The sequence below is a fragment of the Homo sapiens genome, chromosome 7 (genome assembly GCF_000001405.40).
Source record: "Homo sapiens chromosome 7, GRCh38.p14 Primary Assembly".
In the NCBI taxonomy this organism is placed as follows: Eukaryota; Metazoa; Chordata; class Mammalia; order Primates; family Hominidae; genus Homo; species Homo sapiens.
The window spans coordinates 76,971,323-76,997,997 of record NC_000007.14 but is presented as its reverse complement, the minus strand read 5'-3'; the positions used below and the strand labels follow the sequence as shown (position 1 = coordinate 76,997,997).

The 26,675-nt window shown below is 54.6% G+C and overlaps 2 pseudogenes across 1 annotated transcript in view, besides 2 other annotated features; both read right to left on the bottom strand.

Moving 5' to 3' along the window:
- Window positions 1-17,176, bottom strand: part of DTX2P1-UPK3BP1-PMS2P11 (DTX2P1-UPK3BP1-PMS2P11 readthrough, transcribed pseudogene) — a 42,940-nt pseudogene extending 25,764 nt beyond the window's left edge. Inside the window, exons 1-2 of the transcript NR_023383.1 lie at window positions 16,738-17,176; window positions 7,629-7,729 (exon numbers count right to left, since the gene is read on the bottom strand). The product of NR_023383.1 is annotated as a DTX2P1-UPK3BP1-PMS2P11 readthrough, transcribed pseudogene (transcript). The remainder of the gene's footprint in view (window positions 1-7,628; window positions 7,730-16,737) is intronic.
- Window positions 1-26,675, bottom strand: part of DTX2P1 (DTX2 pseudogene 1) — a 44,590-nt pseudogene that overhangs the window by 6,360 nt on the left and 11,555 nt on the right.
- Window positions 12,910-13,189: an enhancer, noted in NCBI's record as "active region_26202". NCBI's record gives its function as "activates an Ori minimal core promoter by ATAC-STARR-seq in GM12878 lymphoblastoid cells {active_cell/tissue: GM12878}" and the evidence as "EXISTENCE:reporter gene assay evidence [ECO:0000049][PMID:35858748]".
- Window positions 13,859-14,432: an enhancer, noted in NCBI's record as "H3K27ac-H3K4me1 hESC enhancer chr7:76612883-76613456 (GRCh37/hg19 assembly coordinates)". NCBI's record gives its function as "activates a minimal SCP1, AML or CMV promoter by ChIP-STARR-seq in naive H9 embryonic stem cells {active_cell/tissue: H9 hESC(naive)}" and the evidence as "EXISTENCE:reporter gene assay evidence [ECO:0000049][PMID:30033119]".

Sequence of the window (26,675 nt, the reverse complement as noted above, 5' to 3'; positions counted from 1 at the left end):
ACCTCCACATACCCACACCTGCACACACCACATACCACACACCCCACACCTGCACATACCCACACACCTGCACACCTCCACACCTGCACACTTCCACACACCTGCACACCCCATCTCCACATACCCCACACCTGTACACACCCCACACCTCCACACACCACACATCTCCACACACACACCACACGTCCACACACACCACACACACCCCACACCTCCACACACCACACACCCCACACACCTCCAGACACCCCACACACCACCACCCACCTCCACACACCGCATACCTCCACACCCCCCACACACCCCACGCACCTCCACACACCCCACACACCCTCACCTCTACACACCCCACATCCCCACCTCCACATACCACACACCTCCACACACCAACCTCCACACACACACCCCACACACATCGCCACACAACTCCCACACCTCCACACACCCCTCACACCTTCACAGACCCCACACTCCACACCTCCACACACCACACACCTCCACACCTCACACATCTCCACACCCCACACACCCACCTCCACACACCCCACACATCCCACACCTCCACACACCCCACACCTCCACACACCCCACACCTTCACACACCCCACACCTCCTCACAGCCTACACCTCCATACACCCCACACAGCTCCACACACCCCACACCTCCACACACCCCACACCTCCACACACCACACACCTCCACACCTCCTCACACCCTACACCTCCATACACCCCACACAGCTCCACACACCCCACACCTCCACACACCTCACACCTCCACACACCACACACAGCTCCACACACCCACCTCCACACACCTCACACCCCACCTCACACCCCACACACTTCTACACACCCTACACACCTCACCCCTCCACACACCTCACACCTCCATACACCCCACACACCCACCTCCATACACCCCACACCTCCACACACCTCCACACACACTCCACACCTCCATACACCCCACACCTCCACACACCCCACACACCCTCACCTCCACACACCCCACACACCCTCACCTCTACACACCCCACACACCCACCTCCACACACCTCACACACCCCCACACCTCCACACACCCATACAGACTGCCCGAACCCAAATCCTGTCACGGTGGCGAGAACGCCAGACCAGAACGATGGCCCCCAGCTCAGGGTCACCCTCCGTGTGGCTGGAATGCCCTACTCAGGCTGAGGGGGGCCTTTTCCTTTGGAAAAGCCTGCCAACTCCAGAGCCATCTCCGGGTGAGCCTGGGCCTCGCCTCTGCCCAGCCCTGGTGAGGCCGGGCACAGCATCCCACCCCCGCCCACCCACCCCAGCCCTTGCAGCTTTTCAGAACAGAAGGGAGCTTTCCATTAGCCACGTGTCTCAGAAGGGGCCAGCCAGGCGACCCACCAAGAGCGTGTCCTTCCCAGGTAAACCCGAGTGCCACAGAAGGTTGCCAGCCGGGCTGCCAACGAGTCTGGCTCCTCCCCCAGGGCAGGGGAAGGGCAGGGCGTGCAGAGCCCTGGGCTGGGGGCAGGAGCTCGAGGCCCACCCCTCCCTGAGCCCACCTCCTCGCCTGTGGGCTGGAGGTCGGACACGATCGGAAGCCACCCTTGCCGCATGCCAGGCGCTTCGAGTATTTCCTAGACCTCGCCAAGCCCCTCTGCTAAGCGGAGGCTCCGAGAGGACCTGCTGAGATGACACAGACACTGAGGGCCAGCAGGGCCACGGCCACCCTCCCTGCCCGCCACCACGCCCACTCAAGAGCATCTGGACTGGCCACAGTCCACACTTCCACAGCCCAGGGGTGGAAGCAGGGCCAGCACCCGCTTGGGAAAGGTTCAGAACTTGACCATCACAGGCTGCTCCGAGCAGGTCTTGCTGTAACTCCCTGGACCTGCTGTGGTCCTAAAGCCCCTTCTTCTGTGGCCATGCAACGAGCAGGGCAGGGGTCACCGAGGGACCCCTCTCAAGCAGCCCACGTGGCGGCCACACAGGGCTGGGGGTCAGGGCAGCAGACCTGGGCAGCAGACCTGGGCCGCTGTCTGGGGGCCTTTCCCGAGACACGTGCTGGCCCTGGCGGAAGGGACGGTTGTCCCCGCATCCTGAGCCGGGCGCCGCCTCTCACCCACAACTTGCTGCTTACAAAAATCACAAAGTCCTCAAGAACAAGCCCCCTCATGCCAGCTGTGACTGGAGGAGAGGAGCTGAACTCTGGGGCTGCGGTGGAAAGTCAGCTTCCAGGGGCCGCCTCTGCTGCCGAGCGGGGGCAGGGAGAAGGGCCACTGAGCCCCTTCCCCCAGGAGTCAGGGAGCAGAGAGAAGGAAGAGGGTCTGTGCAGAAGAGTCGGAGGCAGCGAGGCCGGAAGGAGGCTTAGCAAAGGCCAGAGAGCTTTTGGGAACAAGAACTACCTTTCACGGACATTTTCCTCAATCTCTTAACTGAGCCGTGACTTTTGGAAGCCAGACGGGAGGCGGGAGGGCTGGTGGGCTGGGGTGCGCGGCTAAGACACACAGGGAGTCCAATGGCTGACATCAGAACACTCGTCATGCCTGCACGGGCGTGAGAGCAGACACGCAGAGAGGGAGAGACATTAGAAGACTCCTTCGGCATGTGACGCCAACAAACCCTGCTCAGGCCAAGGATGTGACACCATCAATGGCCACGGGGACGCACAGGTCTCCCTGGGGACTACCCAGGCCAGGAATCAGAGGGTGGGGCAGCCTGGCTCATGGTAGCCCTGGCCCCAGAGCCCACAGGTTTCTATAGGAGCAACAGACAAGCCCGTGCCCTCAGTGTGCAGGTGGGCACCGGGGCAGGACCCGTGACTTCAGGAGAGCAGAGGGCGGAGGACGCCACTCCAGGAAGCCGCCCGGGGCACGGGGTCTCCTGGGTGGGGCTGGCTCCAAGGGCTCAGCTTCCCCAGGAGGCCCTGGGCCCTCCTGGCTTGGAGTTACTAGGCCTCCAGCCTCCACTGGGCGCTGTGTGTGCTCCATGCCCCTCCTGGCTGATCTGGGTGCCAGGGCCTTCAGCGACAGCGCTGGGGTAGGCGGGCAGGAACGTGGCCCCTGGGCCTGCTCCCACACTGCAGCATCCCCATACTGTGAGGGCTGGGCTGCAGCAAGGCCCCAGGCTGTGGCTCTGGCGCCCTCGGGCAAGGGTGGGCCTGTGGCCAGCAGCTATGCTGGGACAGACCGGCCACTCTTTCCAGAGCTCACCACTGCCGGATGCCTGCAGGGAACCCCACACTTGCCCTGGGGGACTCTCCTCTGACACTGCTTCCTTCGTGCTCCCTGATGACCCAGCGCTTCCTGGGACACAGCGTGTCCTGCTGGACGAACCCGTTCCTGCCACACCCTCGGCCTACCCCACTTTCCATAGTGCCAGCTCCCCGGTCCTCCCTGTCATCGGTCAGTTAGGTCAAAAGCACCTCCTCTCCAGAGAAAGGGGAAGCCCAGAGCTTCTTAGCCATCCCTTAAGGTGGCTTCCAGGGTCTGCAGAACCTGGCTCAGGAGCTGGGCACAGCCGGCTGCCGGGGGAGTTGGTAGAGATCCCAGTCCTCCTGGACCCCACTCCCCATCCAGGAACAGATGGCGTGACTCAGGGGTGAAGGGCGGCCAGGCCAGCCACTGCGCCCCCACTAGAAGAACAAAGCTTCTCAACCCGGCACATGTGCCTGGCTGTGGGGACAGAAGCGGAGACCAGCCACCAGCCTGGGCAGCAGAGCCGAGGTGGGCAGGGTGAGTTGCAGTGGCCGCTCAGCAGGAGACACCAAAGCGTGCATCAGAGGACAGAGGTTTGAGCCCGGGAGCTCAATGCCCCCAACATCCCAAGCTTGTTCCTGGGCTCAAATGCGGTTCCTGTGGGAACTGAATGTCGGGTGGAGAGAAGGACAAGCGGGCGCGGGTGGCAGACAGATGGGAGAGGACAGGGACAGGTGCAATTTTCCTCAAGAGAACCTGGTGCCTCTGCGCTGCCCACGTCGTCTGGGAGGACCAAAGGCCAGGACACGTCTCCCTACCCAGGGTTCTCCGGCAACACTGCCTCGGCGGGCAGGCCTTCCCTGAACACTGCCTGACGGGGCCTGTCCCTCCAAGCCTCCCGCCCCGCCGTACTGGACTCCTGCTTTGCACTCCCCTCTGTTTCTATGGACTGTCTTCCCTCAGCACGAGTTCCACGAGGTCCCACCCGTAGCTGCATCTCCAGCACCCCGCTGGGGCAGTGCCTGATCCCTGGGAAGCCTGCAGCCCTCTGTGTTTGCTGAGGAATGAAGACATCCTTGGGCCACCACCAGCCCCCAGGAGGCCGCATGAGTGACACACGTGTCCTTTTCAATGCAGGACCCACTCCCCTGAATTCAAGTCACAAACACACAAGTTTCAACCCAGAAGCCTGGAGAGGAGGAGGGCTAGGGACAACCCCCCAAACTCCTGACAGCCCCCAAATCACCTGAATAACTCGGAGGGCCACAGCCTTTTTCTCCACCCATCTGGGAGGATTCCCGCTGTCAGAGCCCTGAAGAGTGAAGCCCCCACTCACTGATTCTCACTTCCAATTTGCAGACACCCCTCCTTCTGACACCCAGGGCCAGGGCTGAGATCCAAGCCTCTCCTCTGTGCGCTCTGACCTCCCCAGCCTGGGTTCGAGCCCAGTGCCAGCCCTCACCAGCTGAGCAGTCCTGGGCAGGCTGCTGACACCCATCCCTGCCCCAGGCAGCAGTGTGAGCTGTGGATGGACCGCTGCTGTGACCAGGTGAGGGGTGGAGACCCTGGCTCCAGCCTCACAGTCCCTGCCCCCACCCGATAGAGGGACTGGGCTATGCCACAGCCAGGGGAGCTGTCACCTGGAGGCACTGTCACTTGGAAGCAGTGCCTCCAGCACTCAGTCCTTCCAAAGCATGACCTCCTGGTTATAAACCTCCCTGCAAAAACCCTGTGCGCAAACGCTCATCTCCGCAGCCGGGCATGGTATAATTCCTCAACCCACAAGCACACCAGGGTGACAGGACACTGCTCTCCAGCTCTGGCTCCGGGGTGCTGGCCAGGCTCCTCTCATTCCCTGCTCCCCTAGACAATGCTCCCCCAGTAGGTACCAACACTGGGCCTTGAATTGGGGGAGGCAGGAGTCCACACAGCCTCCAGGCTCTCCTATTTCCTTAGGCCTGAACCAGCTTCCCGAATCTATTTCCCCACAAGTAAAATGGATGTTAAAATACCTGCTTTAGCTCCAGGATTGCTCTGAGAGCAACGGGGACAGACAACAGGATGGACAATTTGGGACACAGCCTGGACAGGACCTTCAGCCTCAAGAGCAGAGGAAGGGGGCAGGTGCTAACTCCACACCCAGGGCACTCAGATCTGTGTCATGGCCTCAGAGGTCGCTCACTGTCAGGCCTGGCCACGAAGGCTTGCGAGAGCCCCAGAACTGGAAGGAGCTGGGCCATGAGGAACCGTGTGGGGGCCCCGTCTGTTTACCCACAACCTGTCTCCAATGCCACCACGGCCGCACATGCACACACGGTACACTGTGATTTCCCTACGGCGCCGCACGGTGACTTCAGTGAGCAGGGACTTTCTGGCCAGTGTGTCTTGCTCATTCTGTCTCCCCTGCCCCGCTCCAGCTCCTCTCCCTCCTGCCCCCACCTCTCTGGCCGCTCCTTCATTTTCTCTTCAGTCCCGCCCACGGTCTCTGTGGCACACACGCTCCCACGAGGGGTCAGGGGCACCCCATTCCACCCAAGACTGCTCTTCTGAGGCCCACAGCCAAATCCCACTGCCCCGGAACAGCTCCAACGGCCACTCCACAGCCATCACCCCCTCCCAACCTCCCCCTAGACTCAGCAGCACTGAACCGTCATAGGCAAGAAGGCCCGGGGCTGTGTCTCAGCTCTGCCAAGGGCTGGCAGAGAATTTTTAAATTCTCCGAGCCTCAGTTTCCTCTAATGAAAATGGGAACAAAAGCCTCCACCTCAGTGATTTAAGGACGAAATGAATTCACACACGCCAAGCCCCAGGCTGCTCCTCAGTTGTCACTGGCTGCACTCCAGCAGGCCTCAGTCTACCCCCAATCCCCCCTCACAACCCCCCGCCTGACGGCTCATGCCTCTGAATGTTTCAAGCCAAACCTCCCCCTCAACTCCACTGCCTCGAAGCTGGTCAGGCCTTGGCTGGTGCCCCCAGGTCTGAGGTCAGGCTCTGCACCAGCCGCCCTACCTCCAGGCCTGTCCCCTCTCAGCCACTACGACAGCAACTCCCCTAAAACACCAACTCATTATTGAATTCCGCCACATCACCCTGTGAACAACGATGGCGCCATCCACCTCCTTACATACCTCGAACTTTCCAGAAGTTAGAAAATAACCTCAGCTGGGCGTGGCAGCTCATGACTGGAATCCCAGCACTTTGGGAGGCCAAGGCATGAAGACGGCTTGAGCCTGGGAGTTCAAGACCAGCCTGGGCAACATAGTGAGACCCTGTCTCTACAAAAAATAAAAAACTTCCCTGGCATGGTGGCATGTGTCTGTAATCCCAGCTACTCAGGAGGCTGAGGCAGAAGGATCGCTTCAGCCCAGGGGTTGGAGGCTGCAGTGAGCTATGACTACACCACTGCACACCAGCCTGGGGAACAGAGCAAGATCCTGTCACTTATAACAAGAAAAAAAAAATGGCCAGGCACGGTGGCTCATGCCTGTAATCCCAGCACTTTGGGAGGCCGAGGCGGATGGATCACTTGAGGTCAGGAGTTCAAGACCAGACTGGTCAACATGGCGAAACCCCATCTCTACTAAAAATACAAAAATTGCCCGGGCGTGGTGGCATGCACCTGTAATCCCAGCTACTCGGGAGGCTGAGGCAGGAGAATTGCTTGAACCTGGGAGGCAGAGGTTGCAGTGAGCCGAGATCCCACCACTGCACTCCAGCCTGGGCGAGAGAGACTCCATCTCAAAAAAAGAAAAAAGAAAAAAAATCCTGCCACCTGTGGAGCTTCTGAAAACCCTGCTAGCCAGGCTGCTAAAACAGAATGGGTGTGGGGGCCAGCAGTAGGTATTTTTAAGGATCCTTAAGGTGAAAGGATTGCTTGAGCCCAGGAGTTCAAGACTTCAGTGAGCTGGGTTAGCGCCACTGCACTCCAGCCTGGGTGACAGAGCGAGACTCTTGTCTCACAAAAAACCAAACCAAACCCAAAACAGTTCCAAGATGTAAGATGTATGGTTAGTACAGCAAAAGATCTGGTTGGACCCAAAAGGTGCCTCTTATTCAAGATGTAAGAGTAACTACAGCCGAAATAGATCTATTAATTCCCCAGAGGGCCCCTTTAAGGAAATGTTTAAAGTATTTCAGGACAGGAAAGTGACTATTTAAATATAATGCAATTCAATGCAAAAATGTTAAAGGATGTGAAAAGGTCTGCACCCGAGCGCCCACCGTCATCAGGCCCACGTACCCAGAGAGCAAAAGGAGGGGCACCTGGGCTCACTCTGGGGTGACACCATCACCAGAAAGAGGCACTGCTCCCCCAGGGAGCCCCTCTGGCTCTCCCTGAGGATCCAGAGGGTGACAAGGCCCCACATCACAATTTCCTCCCCACCAAGTCCCGCAGGGCACAGACTGCTCTGCAGCCCGAGGGCAGGCACCTACCTGCGAGCGCCTGCTGGACTCTGCTGGGCTTTGGCATCTGCATGGGCACAGTGGCAGGGACGCTCCCTGGGCTGCTTGAGGGACCGCTGGGGAGGGAGGCACTGGGGGAGAAAAGAGCAGAGCTTACTGCACACCGCTGACTTATTGGAAACGAGAGCTGGAGAAACACTGCGTCATGGCCAAGTGGGAGTCACTGAGGTGCCTTCGCGCTTTTACGCTCCTTGGGTGCCTGTGTGGAGGCCTTTGGTTTTGTTTTCCTGGGCAATTCAGAGAGACTCAGGAGGGGTGTGGTGGCTCACACCAGTAATCCCAGCACTTTGGGAGGATGAGGTGGGAGGATCACTTGAGGCCAGGAGTTTGAGACCAGCCTGGGCAACATAGTGAGACTCCATCTCCAAAAAAATTTTTAAAAGTCTGCCAAGTGTGGTGGTGCGCACCTGTACTTGGGAGGCTGAAGCAGGAGGATGGCTTGAACCCAGGAGGTTGAGGCTGCAGTGAGCCATGACCACATCACTGCAGTCCAGCCTGGGCGACAGAGTGAGACCCTGTCTCAAAAAAAAAAAAAAGACTCTGAAAACAATCATTTCATACCTGTTGTGAATAAAGAAAATAAAAAGAAAAAAAAAGATATTTTACACTCACTAGTGTCATCAAAATGCAGGCTCTCAGGCCAGGCGTGGTGGCTCACGCCTGAAATCCCAGCACTTTGGGAGGCTGAGGCAGGTGGATCACAAGGTCAGGAGATTGATACCATCCTAACACGGTGAAACCCCATCTCTACTAAAAATATAAAAAATTAGCTGGGCATGCTGGCACACAGCTGTAGTCCCAGCTATTCAGTAGGCTGAGGCAGGAGAATCACTTGAACCCAGGAGGTGGAGGTTGCTGAGACCGTGCCACTGCACTCCAGCCTGGACAACAGAGCAAGACTCCATCTCAAAAAAAAAAAAAAAAAATGGCTGGGTGCAGTGGCTCACGCCTATAATCTCAGCACTTTGGGAGGCCAAGGTGGGTGGATCGCGAGGTCAGGAGTTCAACACGAGCCTGGCCAAGATGGCAAAATCCTGTCTCTACTAAAACTACAAAAATTAGCCAGGCATGGTGGCAGGCGCCTGTAATCCCAGCTACTTGGGAGGCTGAGGCAGGAGAATCACTTGAACCTCGGGCAGCAGAGGTTGCAGTGAGCCGAGATCGCACCACTGCACTCCAGCCTGGGCAACAGAGAGAAACTCAGTCTCAAAAAAAAAAAAAAAAAAAAAAAAAAAAAAAAAGCAGGTTCTCATAGCACCTGTTTAGAGGAGAAAAATCCTGGCAGACACCACTTTAGCAAATGATCATGACCGTCATCACCAGTAAAAGACAGGTCAGTATCATAAACCCCACGATAGGATGCTCTGGGAGGGATGCAACACCATTTTGGGGGGATTTAATGTCAAAAATGCATTATCTAGCCTGGGCAACAATCAAGACCCCATCTCTAAAAAGTAAAAAACTAGCCAGGTGTGGTGGCATGCACCTGTGGTCCCAGCTACTTGAGAGGCTGAGGCAGGAGGATCACTTGAGCCTGGGAGTTCAAGGCTGCAGTGAGCTATGATCTCACCACTGTACTCCAGCCCAGGCTGGAGACTCTGTCAAAAAAGAAATAACAAAGGGCATTATCTTTGTCCAAACATGGGAAAACAAGACAAACTCAAATTAAGGGACATTCAACAAAGCACCTCTTTGAAAGTAACAAGGTTATGAAAGATAAAGACTGACAAACTGTTCCAGCCCAGAGGAGGACGGGGAGAATAAGAACTGGAAGCAAAGTGGGACCCTGGATTGGATCCTGGGACAGAAAGAGGACAGTAGTGGGAAATTGGTGAAAAATCAAGAAAGAAAAAAAAAACCTTTAGTTAAGAGTATTATACCAGTGGTAATTTTCTTTTTTTGCGGGGGTGAGGGGACGGAGTCTCGCTCTATTACCAGGCTGGAGTGCAGTGGTGTGATCTTGGCTCACTGAAACCTCTGCCTCCCAGGTTCAAGCGATTCTCCTGCCTCAGCCTCCTGAGTAGCTGGGACTACAGGTGCGTGCCACCACACCCGGCTAATTTATGTATTTTTAGTAGAGACGGGGTTTCGCTACGTTGCCCAGGATGGTCTTGATCTCTCGACTTCGTAATCCGCCTGCCTTGGCCTCCCAAAGTGCTGGGATTGCAGGAGTGAGCCACCGTGCCCAGCCAACCAGTGGTAATTTTCTGGATCTGACAACTGAACCATGGTTATGAAAGCTGTTAATGTCAGAAGCCAGATGAGGGAGATATGGAAACCCAACTACTTTTGTTAACTTTTCCGGAACTTAATTACCATAAAATAAAGGTTGTTGTTGTTTTTTTTTTTAATATGAGGGTTGTGTTCCCTACAATGATTATGTTCAAGTCACTCATTTGGTCTTTGGATTTTTTGAGACAGAGTCTCGTTCTGTGGCCCAGGCTGGAGTGCAGTGGCATGATCTTGGCTCGCTGCAACATCTGCCTCCTGGGTTCAAGCAATTCTCGTGCCTCAGCCTCTCAAGTAGCTGGGATTACAGGCATGAGCCACCACACCCTGCTAATTTTTGTATTTTTAGTAGAGACAGGGGTTTCACCGTGTTGGCCAGGCTGATTTCAAACTCCTGACCTCAGGTGATCTGCCCACCTCAGCCTCCCAAAGTGCTGGGATTACAGGCATGAGACACCATACCTGGCCACTCATTTGGTCTTAAGTCATCATATTTCTTTTTTTTAAGAGGTAGGGTCATGCCGGTAGAGTGACACACTGGAAGCATGCTGGGCCCAGAGTTGGGGTCTTGCTCTGTTACCCAGGCTGGAGGGCAATGGTGCGATCATAGCTCACTGCAGCCTCCACCTCCCAGGTTCAAGTGATCCTCCTGCCTCACCCTCCTGAGTAGCTGGGACTACAAGTGAGCACCACCACACCTGGCTAATTTTATATATATAGAGAGAGAGACAGAATCTTGCTATGTTGTCCAGGCTGGTCTGAAACTCCTGGCCTCAAGAGATCCTCCCACCTTGGCCTCTGAAAGCACTGGGATTATGGGCATGAGCCACTGTGCATGGCCTGTTTGAGTTTGTTTGTTGACTGTTCTCAAACAGGATTGCCTCTGTGGCCGTGCTAAGCAAAGAGCAGCTTCTTGCTCTCCTTGCCTACTCCCGATCCAAAGGCAAGGCTGGTAGTGGATCTGGGGGCCCTGATAATGCTAAGAAGGGCAGGGAGTCTGGACACCTGGGTCAAGGTCCTGACTCTACTGAACACTCAGTTTCATTCATTTGGAGCAAGCTCCTCCCCTTCCTCAGCTGGTTTCAACTCTTCCCCCCACTTTTTTTTTTTTTCTCGGAGTCTCACTCTGTCATCCAGGCTGGAGCGCAGTGGCGTGATCTCGGCTCGCTGCAACCTCTCTGCCTCCCAGGCTCAAGCAATTCTCCTGCCTCAGCCTCCCGAGTAGCTGGGATTACAGGTGCCCGCCACCACGCCTGGCTAATTTTTGTATTTTTAGTAGAGACGGGGTTTCACCATATTGGCCAGGCTGGTCTTGAACTCCTGAACTCAAGTGATCCACCCACCTCGGCCTCCCAAAGTGCTGGGATTACAGGTGTGAGCCACCCTACCCAGCCCTCTTTTCTTTTTTTTAAAGGAAAGTGGATCATCTCTGATGGTCTCTGCAACTCTAAGGTTCCATAAGTGAAGGCATTCAGGACCCTCTAGGGCAGCACTGAGCTCAAGCCCATAGTTGGAGCCCAGAAAGCTGAAATTTGGCACTGCAAGTCTACAAAACAAATGGGCTATGCAGCAGGCTAGGCAGCACTGGCCCAGAGGGGCTCTAAGCCCATGGTGCACCCCCCTCCGCCCCGCCCCCACCAGAGATGGGGTCCCTGGCTGCTCCATCCCACAGAAAAATCCCAGGAAGTGAGGTCTTCCTTCACCAGGGAGAGGCACATATCTGAACGAGAACGTTTGCTTCCGTTCCTAAAGAACGAACAAGAAGTCCTTGCTTCCAAGGACTACAGGAGAAAGCAGAAGCACAGCGAGGCTTCCAGTGGGCGCTCACCCTGTGAATGGAGAGCAGGAACCAGGAGAATGTTCTGTAGAAAGCTCTAAAAATGTCACCACTTCCCCCATATAATCGCAGTTCCTCCCCGGTGTGTGTCCCTGCTGTGACCTCTAGGAACTGAACCGTACAAGGATCCAGAGGTTCCCAAGATAGGGGCCCCTAGGGGTGGACGGAACCTCAGAGGTTATCAATCGCCCTCACCGTCCTCAGAGGGCTCGGACCTGCAGAACGTTCCCAGATGGGGGCACCAACTGCCTCCTGAAGTGTCCTTCTCTGAGAAGTCCCTATAGTCATGGCCTCAGGCACCCTCCTCCTCTCCCCAACTCCTGGTCCACCTATTAGGCCCTCCCTGGCTTTCCTGTCTGTGACCATCTCCAGGAGATCCCAGACAGAGTGGGAAACGTGAGACATGAGGACTCCGAGTTTTCTATGCAGGGCGAGGGGCAAAGCCAGGAGGCCGGAGAGGAAGGAGATCCAAAGCCCCTCTCCAAGTCCACACCCTCTGGGATTGGGGCTGGCAGCCAGTCCCATGAGCTGCAGAGGCTGGAGACGATGCTAGAGGCGTATGCTCCCGCTCAAAGCCGTGTGTGCTGAGCATGGCAAGTCCCCTTCCCGAGCCTCAATTCCTCTACCTGTGAGGATGATTCCCAAAGGCCGCCAGGGCAGTGGTGAGACCCAGGACAAATATCCATGGGGCCAAGGTCTTGGAGGAGCAGAGGGAGGTGAAGCCAGGCCCTAAGGGCCACCAGGCACTTTCCTGTAGGGCCCTAACTACATCCTGAAAACCACAGCAACAATAGAGCAGAAGGCAACCTCAGAAACCGACTAGCTCAAAAGAAGAAGAGGCAGGGCACGGTGGCTCACACTTGTAATCCCAGTGCTTTGGGAGGCCAAGAGTTTGGGACCAGCCTGGGCAATATAGTGAGACCCGTCTCTACAAAAAATTTAAAAAATTAGCTGGGCACAATGGCACAAGCCTGTAGTCCTGGCCACTCAGGAGGCTGAGGCAGGAGGATCCCTTGAGCCCAGGAGTTTGAGGCTGCAGTGAGCCACGATCACACCACTTCACTCTAGCCTGGGTGACAGAGTGAGACCCTGTCTCTTAAAACAAAACAAAACAAAAAACAAAGAAAAAGAAAAGAAAGAAGAAAAAAATAGAGAAGAAAAGAGACCGAGGGCCTATCATAAGTCAGGAGCAAGGCTCCATCTGGGCCCCATGACTCCAATCCCACAAGCCAAAAGACAGGTGGCAGCAGGAGGAAGAGGAAGTGAGTTCTTTTAGAGGCAAGGGCAGCAGCAGCAGCAGCAGCAGCAGCAGCCCACCACAACAGAAAGCCACCAAGAGCTGAGCGCCGTTTTGCAGGGCCACTGAGCCATTCAGCACAGAGCAAAACGCCCACAGGCTTCACCTCGCTGAGCTGTGACAGACTGCTGGTCATAACCACCACCCCAAGCCATCCAAGTGCTAAGCAGTGTCACACTCTCTCCATTAAGGGAGACAAGAGCATGCATGACACATTTAGGAAAGATTTCCATCCAACATCATTAAAACACAAGTTTTGGTGCTTAAAGGGATCAACTTCAGCTACCAGGAAATCTACTGCCACCCAGCAGCTCAGCCCCAGATGACACGCTTTCTTGTATCACGGCCTGTTCCCAGGGGGCACGTGGAAGCTGTGCACGTGAGTTCCAGGAAATTTTTCAATTTCACGCGCTCACATGGTATTTCCAGTGGCTGCCAGTAAAAAGTCGGTTCTCGGGCTTCCCCAGCCCATGGCGCTGGCTCTAGACGGGCCCTGCCTGCCCTGCCTGCCTCCTCACATCCAAGGTAACTTTCACCTGATGCTGTTGACATGCACTTGGCTGTGAGAACCTTGCCGCCTGCTAGGTTAAGAGGTCAGGTATTTACTAAGCCCCATCTGGCTCTACATCCGTCAGAGGAGGGTTAACTGCAGGGGGCCTCACTACAAATCAGGCAGGGGAAAAGCCTGTTTTTCAGCGCGTAGATAGGCTCGTGCAGGTGAATTACACCTCTCCCAGCTCCAAGAAAACCAAAGGAATCAGGATGCACCTACACCTACCCCAGGAGGCAGGCCCCTTTGAGGCTGTTTCCACTAACAGAGCCTGCTGGCCTGGTTCCCTCCTGACTTACAACGTGGGGCAAGCCACAGCATGCCCACCCCAGCACCAAGGGAAGACAGACTGGCCCATCCACCTTCTTTTCTGTAACTTGCCTGGCCCACACCGGTAGGACCCACATCAGCACTTCTGGGGGCCCTCAGGCCAGGGACGGGGACCCCAGAGAAATACTGGGAGAAACGGAAATGGTTTAGGAAAGACCAACGAGGCCCAATACCAGGAGAAAGGAACAAATCCACATTAAATGACTTAACTCCAGAATCCCAGCTCTAGCACTATCTAGAAATTTGCCTCAAAATAATTCCTAAGAACTTAAGAAGCTCCAGGAAGCTGAGTGGAACAGGGCTGACAGAAGTCCCAGCACCTCTAAGAACCCTCCTGGGCCAGCAGATAGAGCACACTGTTCTCTGAAACAGGCTGACCCAGATACTCAGGGAGGGAAGTTGGGGGAGCATCTCCCTGAGCCTGGCTTGCCTATGTCTATGTCCTCAGAGAGCCCCGATGACACCTTCCTATACTCCCAACTCCCAGAAAGATCTCAGATGCACGTGCCCCAACTCCTGGCAGAAGATGCCCCGGAAAACTCTGACTCACCCAAGGCCCATCACCCTCCTGTCTACTGGCCTCCTCCTAGCTCATCCCTCAAGAGGCCTTTTGGGCCAGGTGTGGTGGCTCATGCCTATAATCTCAGCACTTTGGAAGGCTGGGGCAAGAGGATTGCTTGAGGCCAAGAATTCAAGACCAGCCTGGACAACATGGCAAGACCTTGCCTCTACGTAAAACTGAAAAATTAGCCGGGTGTGGTGGTGTATACCTGTGGTCCCAGCTACTCAGGAGGCTGAGGCAGGAGGATCACTTGAGCACAGGAGTTCAAGCCTGCAGTGAACCATGATTGCACCACTGTACGCTAGCCTGGGTGACAGAGCAAAACCTTGTCTTTAAAAATAGTAATAAAATAAAATTAAAATGTATTAAAAGAGCCCCCTGCCTTCCCGGGAATGTCAATAACTCCCCATGTGCCCCAGATAGCCCACTCTTGGGGTCTGGGCTGAATCCCAGCTCCGCTACTTGCTGGCTGTGTCGCCAACCTCATGGGCCTGAATGTGCTCTCCTGTAAGCGAAGAACACTGCTCAGCCTGAGAGCATCGTGGGATGAGTGAAGTCACTCAAGCAGCCTGCTCAGGAGGGCCTGGCACATGACACGAACCAATGAGCGGGAGGCGCTGTCACTGTGTCTTACACAAGCTGGCAGGGTCCTCGGAAACCCAGTCTGAACAAATACTAGAGGTCCAAGAAGCTGCCAAGGCGGTCTCAACCACCCTGTGAAGTTTCAGCCCTTGATGTGGCTGCGGTGGGCAGGGGTGGGCCGGTGAGCAGGGAGGCAGCAGGATGCCGACCAGGGCCAGTGCGGAGAAAGGAGATGATTTCCTCCCTGGGACCAGGGCGGCCCCAGGCCCACCCACTCCCTCACCACCCGCACCAGGGCACTCTCAGAAAGCCCTGTCCCAGCTACCACTCTGAATTCTCAAAATGTGCTCCAAGCCCAACATTCTCAATAATGAATGACGAAGCCCCAAGTCACCCAGACAGTCAGAGGGCTACGGCCAGCCCATTCACCTTGGCCAAATCCAGGGAAATCCTGGGGGGGTTCCTCATTTTATCTTTTTTATTTTTTTCCCCCGAGATGGAGTTTCGCTCTTTGTTGCCCAGGCTGGAACGCAGTGGCACGATCTTGGCTCACTGCAACCTCCACCTCCTGGGTTCAAGGGATTCTTTTGCCTCAGCCTTCCAAGTAGCTGGGATTACAGGCGCTGGCCACCATGCCTGGCTAATTTTTGTATTTTTAGTAGAGATGGGGTTTCACCATGTTGGCCAGGCTGGTCTTGAACTCCTGACCTCAGGTGATCCGCCCACCTCGGCCTCCCAAAGTGCTGGAACTACAGGCGTGAGCCACTGGGCCCAGCTTTAAGACAGGGTCTCGCTCTGTCACCTAGGGGGCTGAAGCGCAGTGGCGCGATCACAGCTCACTGCTGCCTTGACCTCCTGGTCTCCAGCAATCCTCCTGCCTCAGTCTCCCAAGTAGCTGGGATTACAGGTGTGTACCACTATGCCTGGCTAATTAAAAAAATTTTTTTTTGTGGAGATGGGGTCTCGCTATGTTGCTCAGGCTGGTCTCTGACTGCTGGGTTCAAATGATCTTCCTGCCTTGGCCTCCCAAAGTGCTGGGATTAAAGGTGTCAGCCTCTGTGCCTGACCAATCTCCTCATTTTAAATGCCACCCGCTCTGGTCTGCACTGGGCCCGTGGTATCATTCTCTCTCTCTCTCAAGGAGCTGAGCGCTCTACCAGGCACTCTGGGCTGGGCTGCATCATCACGGGGGCCAGGTCACCCGTGCCACCTGCAGCCACTGCCACGTGCTCCACATTCTGCCCTCCCTCACACCGCGCTGACAGCCCCTTGCACTAGACTAGGGCTCAGGGGTAAGGGCTGATACTCTGGTCTCTGGGTCCTTAGGGCCTGGCACAAGGCGGGAGTCAGTGTACAGGCAGTGACCCAGTGTTCTCGGGCACAATGCTCGCCATGCAGCCCGCAAGCAGAGGCCACAGGCCTTTAACTGCTCCATGTGGAGGCCCTTAATCATCGTGAGTGAAAGGACTGTAGATTCTAACCCGTGTGGTGACTGCCAGGACTCAGGTACAAGGGGTCAGGTAGGCTCTGGACGGCCACGGCACCTCGGCACCCACATGCCACATGCAAATGAGATGCCACGGCAGGACCACCTAGGGGGCAGGAGCCGCATCTGCAGGAATTGGGGTGAGTCTTCCCAGCTAAGAGCAGAAACACAGGGCAGACAAAACGAGCGGCCGTTGCCCACGATACCTGACTGCACCGGAGGTGGAGGATCCTGGGGGCAGGTGCTGCGGTCCCAGGTGGGAGAGGCTGGAGCGGTAGAGGGGCTGGCTCCCCAGGGAAGGAGGAGCTGCGTCCCAGGCGTTCGTGGTGTTCAGCCTGGGCGCAGACCGGGCCCCGGAGAGTGAGGGTTTGTTGTATGGTGCAAAGGCCTGGTGGGTCCCAAACACAGAAGCGGTCCTGTGGGGGGGGTGCTGGGGGGCGGGGTATGCAGGGAGGTTGGTCATGGAGTGGCGGTAGCGGCCTGATACAGGGCCAGTTCTGCTGCCACTGAGGCACTGGTGGCAAGAGCAGGCGACGCCTGTGTGGCCCGGCGGAGCGATGATGGTGGTCACTGGGTAAGGCGGCCCTGCTTGGCGCCGCACGCTGCAGCAGAAGCTGGAAGTCTTGTTGGTCTGCGTGTGGGTGGTGTAGTTGACAGTGTAGTTGTACCCCAGGGGGGCCAAGTCCACGAGCTGGTTGCCCCTGGCCACCTGCTGCTCCAGATCGTCACAGACGCCGGCTTCATAGGCGGTCCAGGAGCCATCGTCGCTCAGCCACTCCCAGACGACACCTCGGCCAGGGGCTGAGTGCTGGGGGAACAGGTGTCTCCGCACAGTCCGCATGGTGCCTGTTTTCAAAGGAAAACCAAAGGTTAGTCTGCTAGCATCCCCAAGATACAGGGAACGTTCAAATTCTTTTTTCAACCGCCAAAATAAACAAATAGGAACACAGTAGGTACACAGTCATGCTGCTATTTGTTTATTTATTTATTGTTAGAGGCAGGGTACCCCTTTGTCACCCAGGCTGCAGTGCAGTGATGTGATCATAGTTCACTGCCACCCTGACCTCCTGGGCTCAAGCGATCCTCCTGCCTTAGCCTCCTAAATAACTGGGACTACAGGCACATGACACCACACCCACCTAACTTCAAATCGACCTCTACAACACCTGCCACTTTCATTCCCCGATTAACACTTCCTGCTCTCTGCCACGATATGCAATTTCCATGTTATTATTTATCCTGTCTGCTATCTTTGTCAGTTGACTTCACACACTGTGAAGGCAATGACTTGGGAGCTGACTGACAGCCACAGTTTTCACAGACTCTACGACACTCCTGGAAACACAGTTTCCAGGGCTGGGCATGACGGCTCAAGCCTGTAATCCCAACACTTTCGGAGGCCAAGGCAGGAGGATCACTTGAGCTCAGGAGTTGAAGACCAGCCTGGGCAACACAGGGCGATGGAGACCCAGTCTTTACAAAAAACAAACAAACAAACAAACAAACACGATAAAAAAAACCCATACTTTTTAAAATAAAACTAAAATTAAAATTGAAAAAAAAAAGGAAAAACCAGTTTCTCAAGTTTCCTCACTGGTGACACTGTGGGCCAATAATTCCTTACTGCAGGGCCAGCCCAGTGCACTGCCGGATGGCGAGCAGCATCCCTGGCCTCCACCCACCAGATGCCAGGAGCACCCCCACCTCCCACCCACTCAGCTGTAACAACCAACAGTGTCTCCAAACATTGTCAGATGGCCCCGGGGACAAAATCACCCCCAGTGACAACCACCAGATTAGAGTAAGGGATGGCTCCGAGAGGAAACTGGTGCCTCATTCTCAATAATACTGATCAAAACACACTGCAGGTCCAGGTGCGGTGGCTCATGCTTGTAATCCCAGCACTTTGGGAGGCCGAGGCAGGCAGATCACCTGAGGTCAGGAGCTCGACACCAGCCTGGCCAACGTGGCAAAACCCCGTCTCTACTAAAAATACAAAAATTAGCCAGGTGTGGTGGCGGATGTCTATAATCCCAGCTACTCGGGAGGCTGAGGCAGGAGAATCACTTGAACCCAGGAGGCAGGGGTTGCAGTGAGCCGAGATTGCACCACTGCACTCCAGCCTGGGCAACAGAGCCAGACTCCGTCTCAAAAAAAAAAAAAAAAAAAAAAAAAAAAGATCAAAACACATCGCAGACCAAAAAGCAGAAACGCACACACGCAGAGGGGCGCAGTTGCCTGCCCAGGGCACACAGCCACTGAGTGGTGGGACAGGGCCCTCTGAACTCCTATGACGCACCACCTCCATGCTGGCCTGCCGGCCAAAGGAACCCTTCAACCTCTGTGGTCGGAACAGGCATTTCTGCTTTGCAAGACAAGGGGAAGGGCCTCCCACAGTGCCTCTCCCACTGTGAGCTGCACTCAACCTATGTGGATGTTCCCACTCACTGCACCCACCCACCACCACGTGTGCTGCAGGGAGAGAGCAGAAGCTCTGTAAGTCACGTCCATCACCCCAACACCTGGCGCAGAGCCTGTGGGAAAGCAGGTGCGGCGCCCAGATATGTGCGAGAGGCAGACAGCGTCTTACCGGTGTCCTGGCGGAACTGGGTCCAGCTGGGGAGGTCAATAATGTAACGGGCCAGCGAGGGGTCTGCCTGGCCCAAGGGGATGCTGTGGGCCAGGCTCCCAAGCCCAAAACGTTGGCCCTTCTGCTGGACAAACTGCTGCTCGATGAAGCTGCAGATGGTGGCACTGTAGGGGTGCCAGGTGCCCAGCCCATCCTGCCATAGCCACAGCTGCGGGGCTGGTGTACACCTGCACCAGGGAAGGGCTTGGGGCCATGGCCATCTTCCCAAGGAGTCCCGCTGCTTTCCCAAACAGCTTCAGACCCCTCTGGCCTGGAGTCCCGGGGTCATTGCCCAGCGCCTCCGGCAGATCTGTGAACAGGACAGACATGAGCAGTTACCAATGCACATCAGTAGCCCTGCAGAGTCAGCCTCAGCGCAGGGGAAACACGTGATGCTTTTCCACAGCTGATTTTTTTTTTTTTTTTTGGTTACAGGGTCTCACTCTCTCACCCAGGCTAGAGTGCAGCAGTGTGATCTTGGCTCACAGCAGCCTCAAACTCCTGGTCTCAAGCAATCCTCACAACTCAGCCTCCAGAGCAGCTGGAACAATAGGCATTCACCACCACACCCAGCTCATTTTTTTACTTTTTGTAGAGATGATGTCTGTGTTGCCCAGGCTGGTCTCAAACTCCTAGCCTCAAGGGATAGACTCGCCTCAGCCTTCCCAAGTGCTGGGATCACAGGTGTGAGCCACCGCGCCTGGTCTCACGCTTGCTTTTCTTCCCCTAACACCTTAAGGGCATCATGAATCAAGAACCTGATCCTGTCTCTTTGCTGTGGCAGCCAGGAAGAATTCAAAGTCAATCCCGCAGCCTACGTACCACCGCACAGGCCCATGAAGAAAGAGAGCATAAATTCCGGGTGCTAGTCACCAGCCCAGCTTCTTTCTTGCTACTGATAATTCCCCTCTGACCCAACTGCTTAGTGTGTTTCATCATGCATGTATTTTTTTTTCTTTGAGATGGAGTTTCACTCTTGTCACCCAGGCGTGTGATCTCGGCTCACTGCAACCTCCACCTCCCGCGTAGGTTCAAGTGATTCTCCTGCCTCAGCCTCCCGAGTAGCTAGGACTACAGGCATGCACCACTGCGCCCAGCTAATTTTTTGTATTTTTAGTAGAGTCGGGGTTTCACCATGTTGGCCAGGCTGGTCTCAAACTCCTGACCTCAGGTGATCCACCCACCTCAGCCTCCCTATTAGCACCCACCATCCTGAAGATGAGAACCCAACATTTCTTGGAAAGGAGCAGGGTTTGGGACACCCAGGGAGCAGGGGCAGAGCTGGGAACTGCAACACAGGTTCTAGCTCCTCATGTCTCCCAGGTGCCCTGAAGCATCGCTAACCAAAAAGGAAGCCCTAGATGGGCACCGAATCACCCCTCTCTGGCCTCTCCAAGGCTCTCTGCACCCACTCCCCGACCTGGCCCCTGCTGACCGGCCACCAGGCCCAGGGAGCTCTTCCCCACATCCCGAGCTCCACCTCCCGAGACCTTCTCCTTGCAGTCACTCCAGCCCACCCTCTTCCCTTGCGAACACTCCACGTCCTCCAGGCCCAGCTTGCATCGCTCAGGATGACCCATCACACGCCCTCTGCACCCTCCACAGCACCCACCAGAACCCTAGTAACCGCGTCCACGTGTGGCTGTGACCACAGTCCTTCTGCTCCTCCCCAGGTGGCAGCAACCCCAAGCCTGCTTCATTCACAGCTGCATCACCGGGACCCAGCAGGGGCATGCCACGTGGTGAGTGTTCTAGAATGTTCTACACACCGCTTCAGAATGACAGAGTGAATGTGGACAATGATTCCGCTCAGCACCTGGAGCTGTCTGAATAAGAAGAGGCCTGCAAATGCCCCACCTGATGGCTGCCCCCCAGGGCACCGGCTGTTGGAGTGCCGGTCCAGGGTCCAACATTTAGTAACCAACATCAAATGTACTTGTCTCTCCTAAGCTGCACAGACTGCCAAGGTGACATTTCTCCCACTTACGGACAGGAAACCAAGGCTGAAAGAGGTCAAGGGGACTGGGTGTGGTGGCTCACACCTGTAATGCCAGTGTTTAGGGAGGCTGCGACAGGAGGGTGGTTTGAGCACAGGAGTTTGAGGCCAGCCTGGGCAACACAGTGAGATCCCATCTCTGCAGAAAATTTAAAAGTTAGCCAGGTGCGGAGGTGCATGCCAATAGTCCCAGCTACTCAAGAGGCTGAGGCAGGAGGATGGCTTGAGCCCAGGAGTTAGAGGCTGCAGTGAGCTATAATCCCAAGGCACTCCAGCCTCAGTGACAAGAGGTCCCACCTCTACAAAAAAAAAAAAAAAAAAAAAAATCAGAGCTGATGCAGTGTGTGTGCACACTGATGCCAGAGCCCAGGCCTGCTTCTTTCCAGGTGCTGCTCCACATCTGTCTCCCTTCCAGGGAAGGTGGTCTTACCCTTCTCACTGAAACCTTGCTGGGGTAGTACAGTCTGGGACCACACCAGAAGCCAGGGTCCCCATCTTATCACAAGCCACGCGACTATGAGGACGTCACTGTAACTACCTGGGTCTCAGTTTCCTCATTGGCAAAATGGGGATAAAATATGATGTGTATGCTCGGGAATCACCAGATTGTATCAGTGGGGGCCCTACTGGCCAGGGTCCTTCATGGGCGTGTTGTCACAATGAGGGTGTATAGTGCTTGAGAGACGAGGGTCGTTCTCTCCTTTTCCTTTCCCCCTCTTTAAGCAGGGCCTGTAAGTGAAGCCCAAGGTGAAGCTCAGACTGAGCCCTCCTAGCTAAGAAAATGGGCCTTAGAGCCAGACCCGACCTGGGTTTGTTCTCTGTGCTGCCTCTTAGTCATGTATGTGTGACCTTGGTTGAATAACTCAAGGTCACACATACACTACTTAATAAAAGGTGACATTTATTTATTTATTCATTTATTTATTTATTTAGAGTCCGAGTCTCACTCTGTCACCCAGGCTAGAGTGCAGTGGCCGCAATCACCACTCACTGCAGCCCCATGGCCTCCTGGGCTAAAGCCATCCTCCTGCCTCCACCTCCCGAGCAGCTGGGACTACAGGCATGTGCCACCATACTCAACTGATCTCTTAATTTTTTGTAGAGACAGGGGTCTCCCTCTGTCACCCAGCTGAGACTACAGGCACGCGCCACCATGCCTGGCTATTGTATCATCTTGATGGAAGTATCTAAGCTCGCCAAGCTTGCTTTCTTTGGGAAAATGCAGTTATCAACATGTATCCTAAGTGTTTTTCATGAGGATAACACAGACGGGTGTGTATAAGGTGCCCACACAGCACTAGGCATACAGCAGAGAGTCAACCCATCTTGGCCTCCCTGCCTCTCCTGGCCCCTCACCCCTAGCACTTGCCCACCCTTTCAGTCTCAAGGAGGAACGGCCACAAGGGCAGCCCTGAGTACACAGCATGAGAACACAGGTGAGTCAGGCCTGCAACAACTCCGAACACAGGAATTGGCAGCTCTGTGGGTGCCAGGCCCGCCACGGAGCTGCCAATTCCTCCGACAAAAGCCCACAACCCGCCCCAAAGATCAGACCTGGAGTGCCCTCGGGCGGGCGGGCAGGCGGGCGGGCGGGCGGAATGGTTCAGCTCAGTGTCTTCAATTGGAAGTTTCTGTAACCACAATGAGGTACAAATCAGAGGACTGCCTTCCAAGCCAATTACTCCTGGGTGTCACGCATCTCTCGGGCAGCCACGGCCGCCTCCATCATCGGCACACGGGGTATGTCCCAACATGTCCTCATGGCCCGATGAACCAACTCTCACAACTCTGCAAAACAGCCTGGGAAATATAGGCGAGGACTTCAGCTAAAACTTTCCACGAAGGCACGCAGCCTCCCCAATGGAGGGCGCGCCATGGCCCAGGCCCTAGGAGGGTACTGGAGACTCCAGAGGATGACAAGGCACACAAGCCCCTCCATGACCAGCCACTGTTCCTACTCACACCAAGCCCGCCACCTTTGATACCCACATCTAATTCTAGAAAGTTCCAGAACATTCCAAGCCACTTACCACCTTCTAGCAATTGATCCTCCCTCTATACCAGCCCCCAAGCAAACACGCCCATCCTTCCAGACCCAACCATGGTATCCCCTTCTCCTGGGCCCCCTGACCCACAGCTTGCCAGAGACGGCTGGCTCCACCTACCCTTGTGTGCACGGCGCAGGGCACTTACGCAAACACAACCGCACTCCCTGGTTTCAGTGGCCTTCTCCCCACCAAAACAGAAACTCCCTGAGGGCAGAGCTGCGGCTGCAGTTCTTCAGGTGCCCAATATCCCAGAGGCTCTGAAACACCAAAGGAGGGGTGAGCCTTCTGCTCCGGGGGCACAGGCACCTTTGAGTCACTGCCCAGAAACGCCCACTGCGTTCCCCTTGAACCCAGCAATTATGCACAATACAGTGGCGTGTCGGTGCACCAGTCTCTGCAGCAGCCTCGGCTTAACCATCACTTAGCTGCAGCTTAAAAACCTAATTTGTTCCAGCTCCTAATGATGCCGGTTCTTCATTATGAAAATTATTAGTATTATAATTGGCCATGGGAAAAAGCCTCAATTTGGAGGCAGCCTAAACACTTTACAATAAAGGAATTCTTGCACCAATTATGGAACATTCTAATGATGGAATACAAATCAGTCTTAAAAAATGAAAGAAAGGGCCAGGCGCGGTGGCTCATGCTTGTAATCCCAGCACTTTGGGAGGCCGAGGCGGGCGGATCGCTTGAGTCCAGAAATACAAGACCAGCGTGGGCAACACAGCAAAAGCCTGTCTTTACAAAAACTAGAAAAATTAGCCATTTGTGGTGGTGCGTGCCTGTAGTATCAGCTACTCAGGAGGCTGAGGTGGGAGGATTGCTTGAGCCCTGGAGGTTGAGGCAGCAGTGAACCATGATTGCACCACTGCACTCCAGCCTGGGTGACAGACAGAGACCCTGTCTCATAAAAATAAATTAATTAAAAATTAAAAGTCTGGAAAGAACAACACTAAAATGTCACTGGAATCAAAGAATTATGGGATTTTTTTTCTTTTTTTTATTTTTGAGAAGGAGTCTTGCTCTGTCGCCAGGCAGGAGTGCAGCAGTGCAATTTTGGCTCACTGCAACCTCCGCCTCCCGGGTTCAAGCAGTTCTCCTGCTGCAGCCTCCCAAGTAGTTGGGATTACAGGCACGCACCACTACGCCTGGCTAATTTTTGTATTTTCAGTAGAGATGTGGTTTTGCCACATTGGCCAGGTTGGTCTCAAACTCCTGACCTCAAGTGATCCACCCGCCTCAGCCTCCCAAAGTGCTGGGATTACAGGTGTGAGCCACTGCACCTGGGCTATTCTTTCTTTACCTCTTTCTGTACTTGCAAATGTTCTAAAATAGTCATATAACTTTTTAATGATCAAAGGGTTTTTTTTGTTTTTGTTTTTGTTTTTGAGACAGAGTTTCATTCTTGTTGCCCAGGCTGGAGTGCAATGGCGTGATCTCGGCTCACTGCAACCTCCGCCTCCTGGGTTCAAGCGATTCTTCTGCCTCAGCCTTCCAAGTAGCTGGGATTACAGGCACCCACCACCAAGCCCGGCTAATTTTTTTTTTTTGTATTTAGTAGAGACGGGGCTTCACCATGTTGGCCAGGCTGGTCTCGAACTCCTGACCTCAGGTGATCCACCTGCCTTGGCCTTCCAAAGTGCTGGGATTACAGGCGTGAGCCACTGCACCTGGCCAAAGTTTTTTTTTCTTCTTTTTTTTTTAGTATTAACAACTTTGACCAGGAAAAACAAACCCTGCTTTTCCTTTACAGTCTCTCGTCAGGTCTTCGCCGCAAATCTCTCTCCAGAGGATCGTGGCTGAGGCACCATGGAATGCTGCTGTTCTACTGGAGATGAAATTTCATCCAAAAGAAAAAGGGAAAAGTATCCAAAAGTCTTTCTAGTCTCCAGGCATTTAGAAAAGCTTTAGAACAAGATCTGCACTGGCACAAGAATTTGAGTGGAAATCACCCTGCCCAGCTGTGAGCCCCGGGGCGGGTGAGCCACACACTTGGATCTCACTGCAGTTGTGGCCTCTGGGAAGAAGGCTTTGAATGCAGATTTTAAACAGGTACTCAACTCATACTGAGCCACGGCTACTTTCAACTTAACAATATGTGAGAAACCCATCTGATCACTGCAGACCTGCTGAAATCTCTTACAACTAATCCTTCAATCCTCACCAGAATGCTGGCTGTCCTGCCTCTGCCGTCGCGAGAGAAGATAAAAGCTACTGGGTGGCCACAGGGCAGTTATGTCCCCTTCTCTAGGTTTTGTGATTCTGGCAGTTAGAATGGGTTTCCAGACTTTTACAAGCAGAAACCCTTATACATGTGATTATATGCTGTCCGTCAACATGTAAAACACGCCAAGCGTGGTGACTCACACCTGTAATCTCAACGTTTTGGGAGGCCAAGGTGGGAGGACCACTTGAGGCCAGGCGTTTGAGACCAGTCTGGGCAACATAGCAAGACCCTATCTCTTAAAAAAAAAAAAAAAAAGAAAGAAAGAAAAGAAAAAGAAAAAGAAAAAAAAAAGTAAGCCAGGCACGGATCACCTGAGGTCGGCAGTTCGAGACCAGCCTGACCAACATGGAGAAACCCCATCTCTACTAAAAATACAAAATTTGCCGGGCGTGGTGGCACATGCCTGTAATCTCACCTACTAGGGAGGCTGAGGCAGGAGAATCGCTTGAACCCGGGAGGTGGAGGTTGCAGTGAGCCGAGATCGCGCCATTGCACTCCAGCCTGGGCAATAAGAGTGAAACTCAGTCTCAAAAAAAAAAAAAAAAAAAAAGTGAAACACAGAAATGTGGGATGTTGTTTTTGACACAGAGGTGGCCTCCATTCCTATTTTTCTTCAAGAGAACCATGAAGCTCCTTTGCAAAATAGGTGAGTTCTTTTCTTTGAGACAGAGTCTCCTTCCATCACACAGGCTGGAGTGCAGTGGTGCGATCTTGGCTTACTGCAACCTCTGCCTCCCAGGCTCAAGTGATTCTCATGCCTCAGCCTCCTGAGTAGCTGGAACTACAGGTGTGCACCACACCACACCTGGCTAATTTTTGTATTTTTAGTAGAAACGGGGTTTCGCTATGTTGGCCAGGGCTGGTCTCAAACTCCTGGCCTCAAGTGATCTGCCCACCTCGGTCTCCTCAAGTGCTAGGATTACAGATGTGAGCCACTGCACCTGACTGCAAAATGGGAGAGTTCTGAGAAGTGTGGACTGGAAACCAGTGAGAGGAGGTAACTTCTAGAACCTCTTCCCAGCTCTGATTCCACTAACATGGTCTAAACTTTCCAAACTCAACCCACACCACCGTTAAAGTCCTTATTTTCTAAGCCGTTTCTCTTTCGGGCACTTTCCAGGAGGCCTGGGCCTGAAACTCCACACCCCACCAGCTGACACACTGTGCGTGACCTGGAACTAGAAATGACCTTCTCACAGGGCAGATGGCCACCCACGGGGGATGCCTTGTTAGAAAGCCTCTCC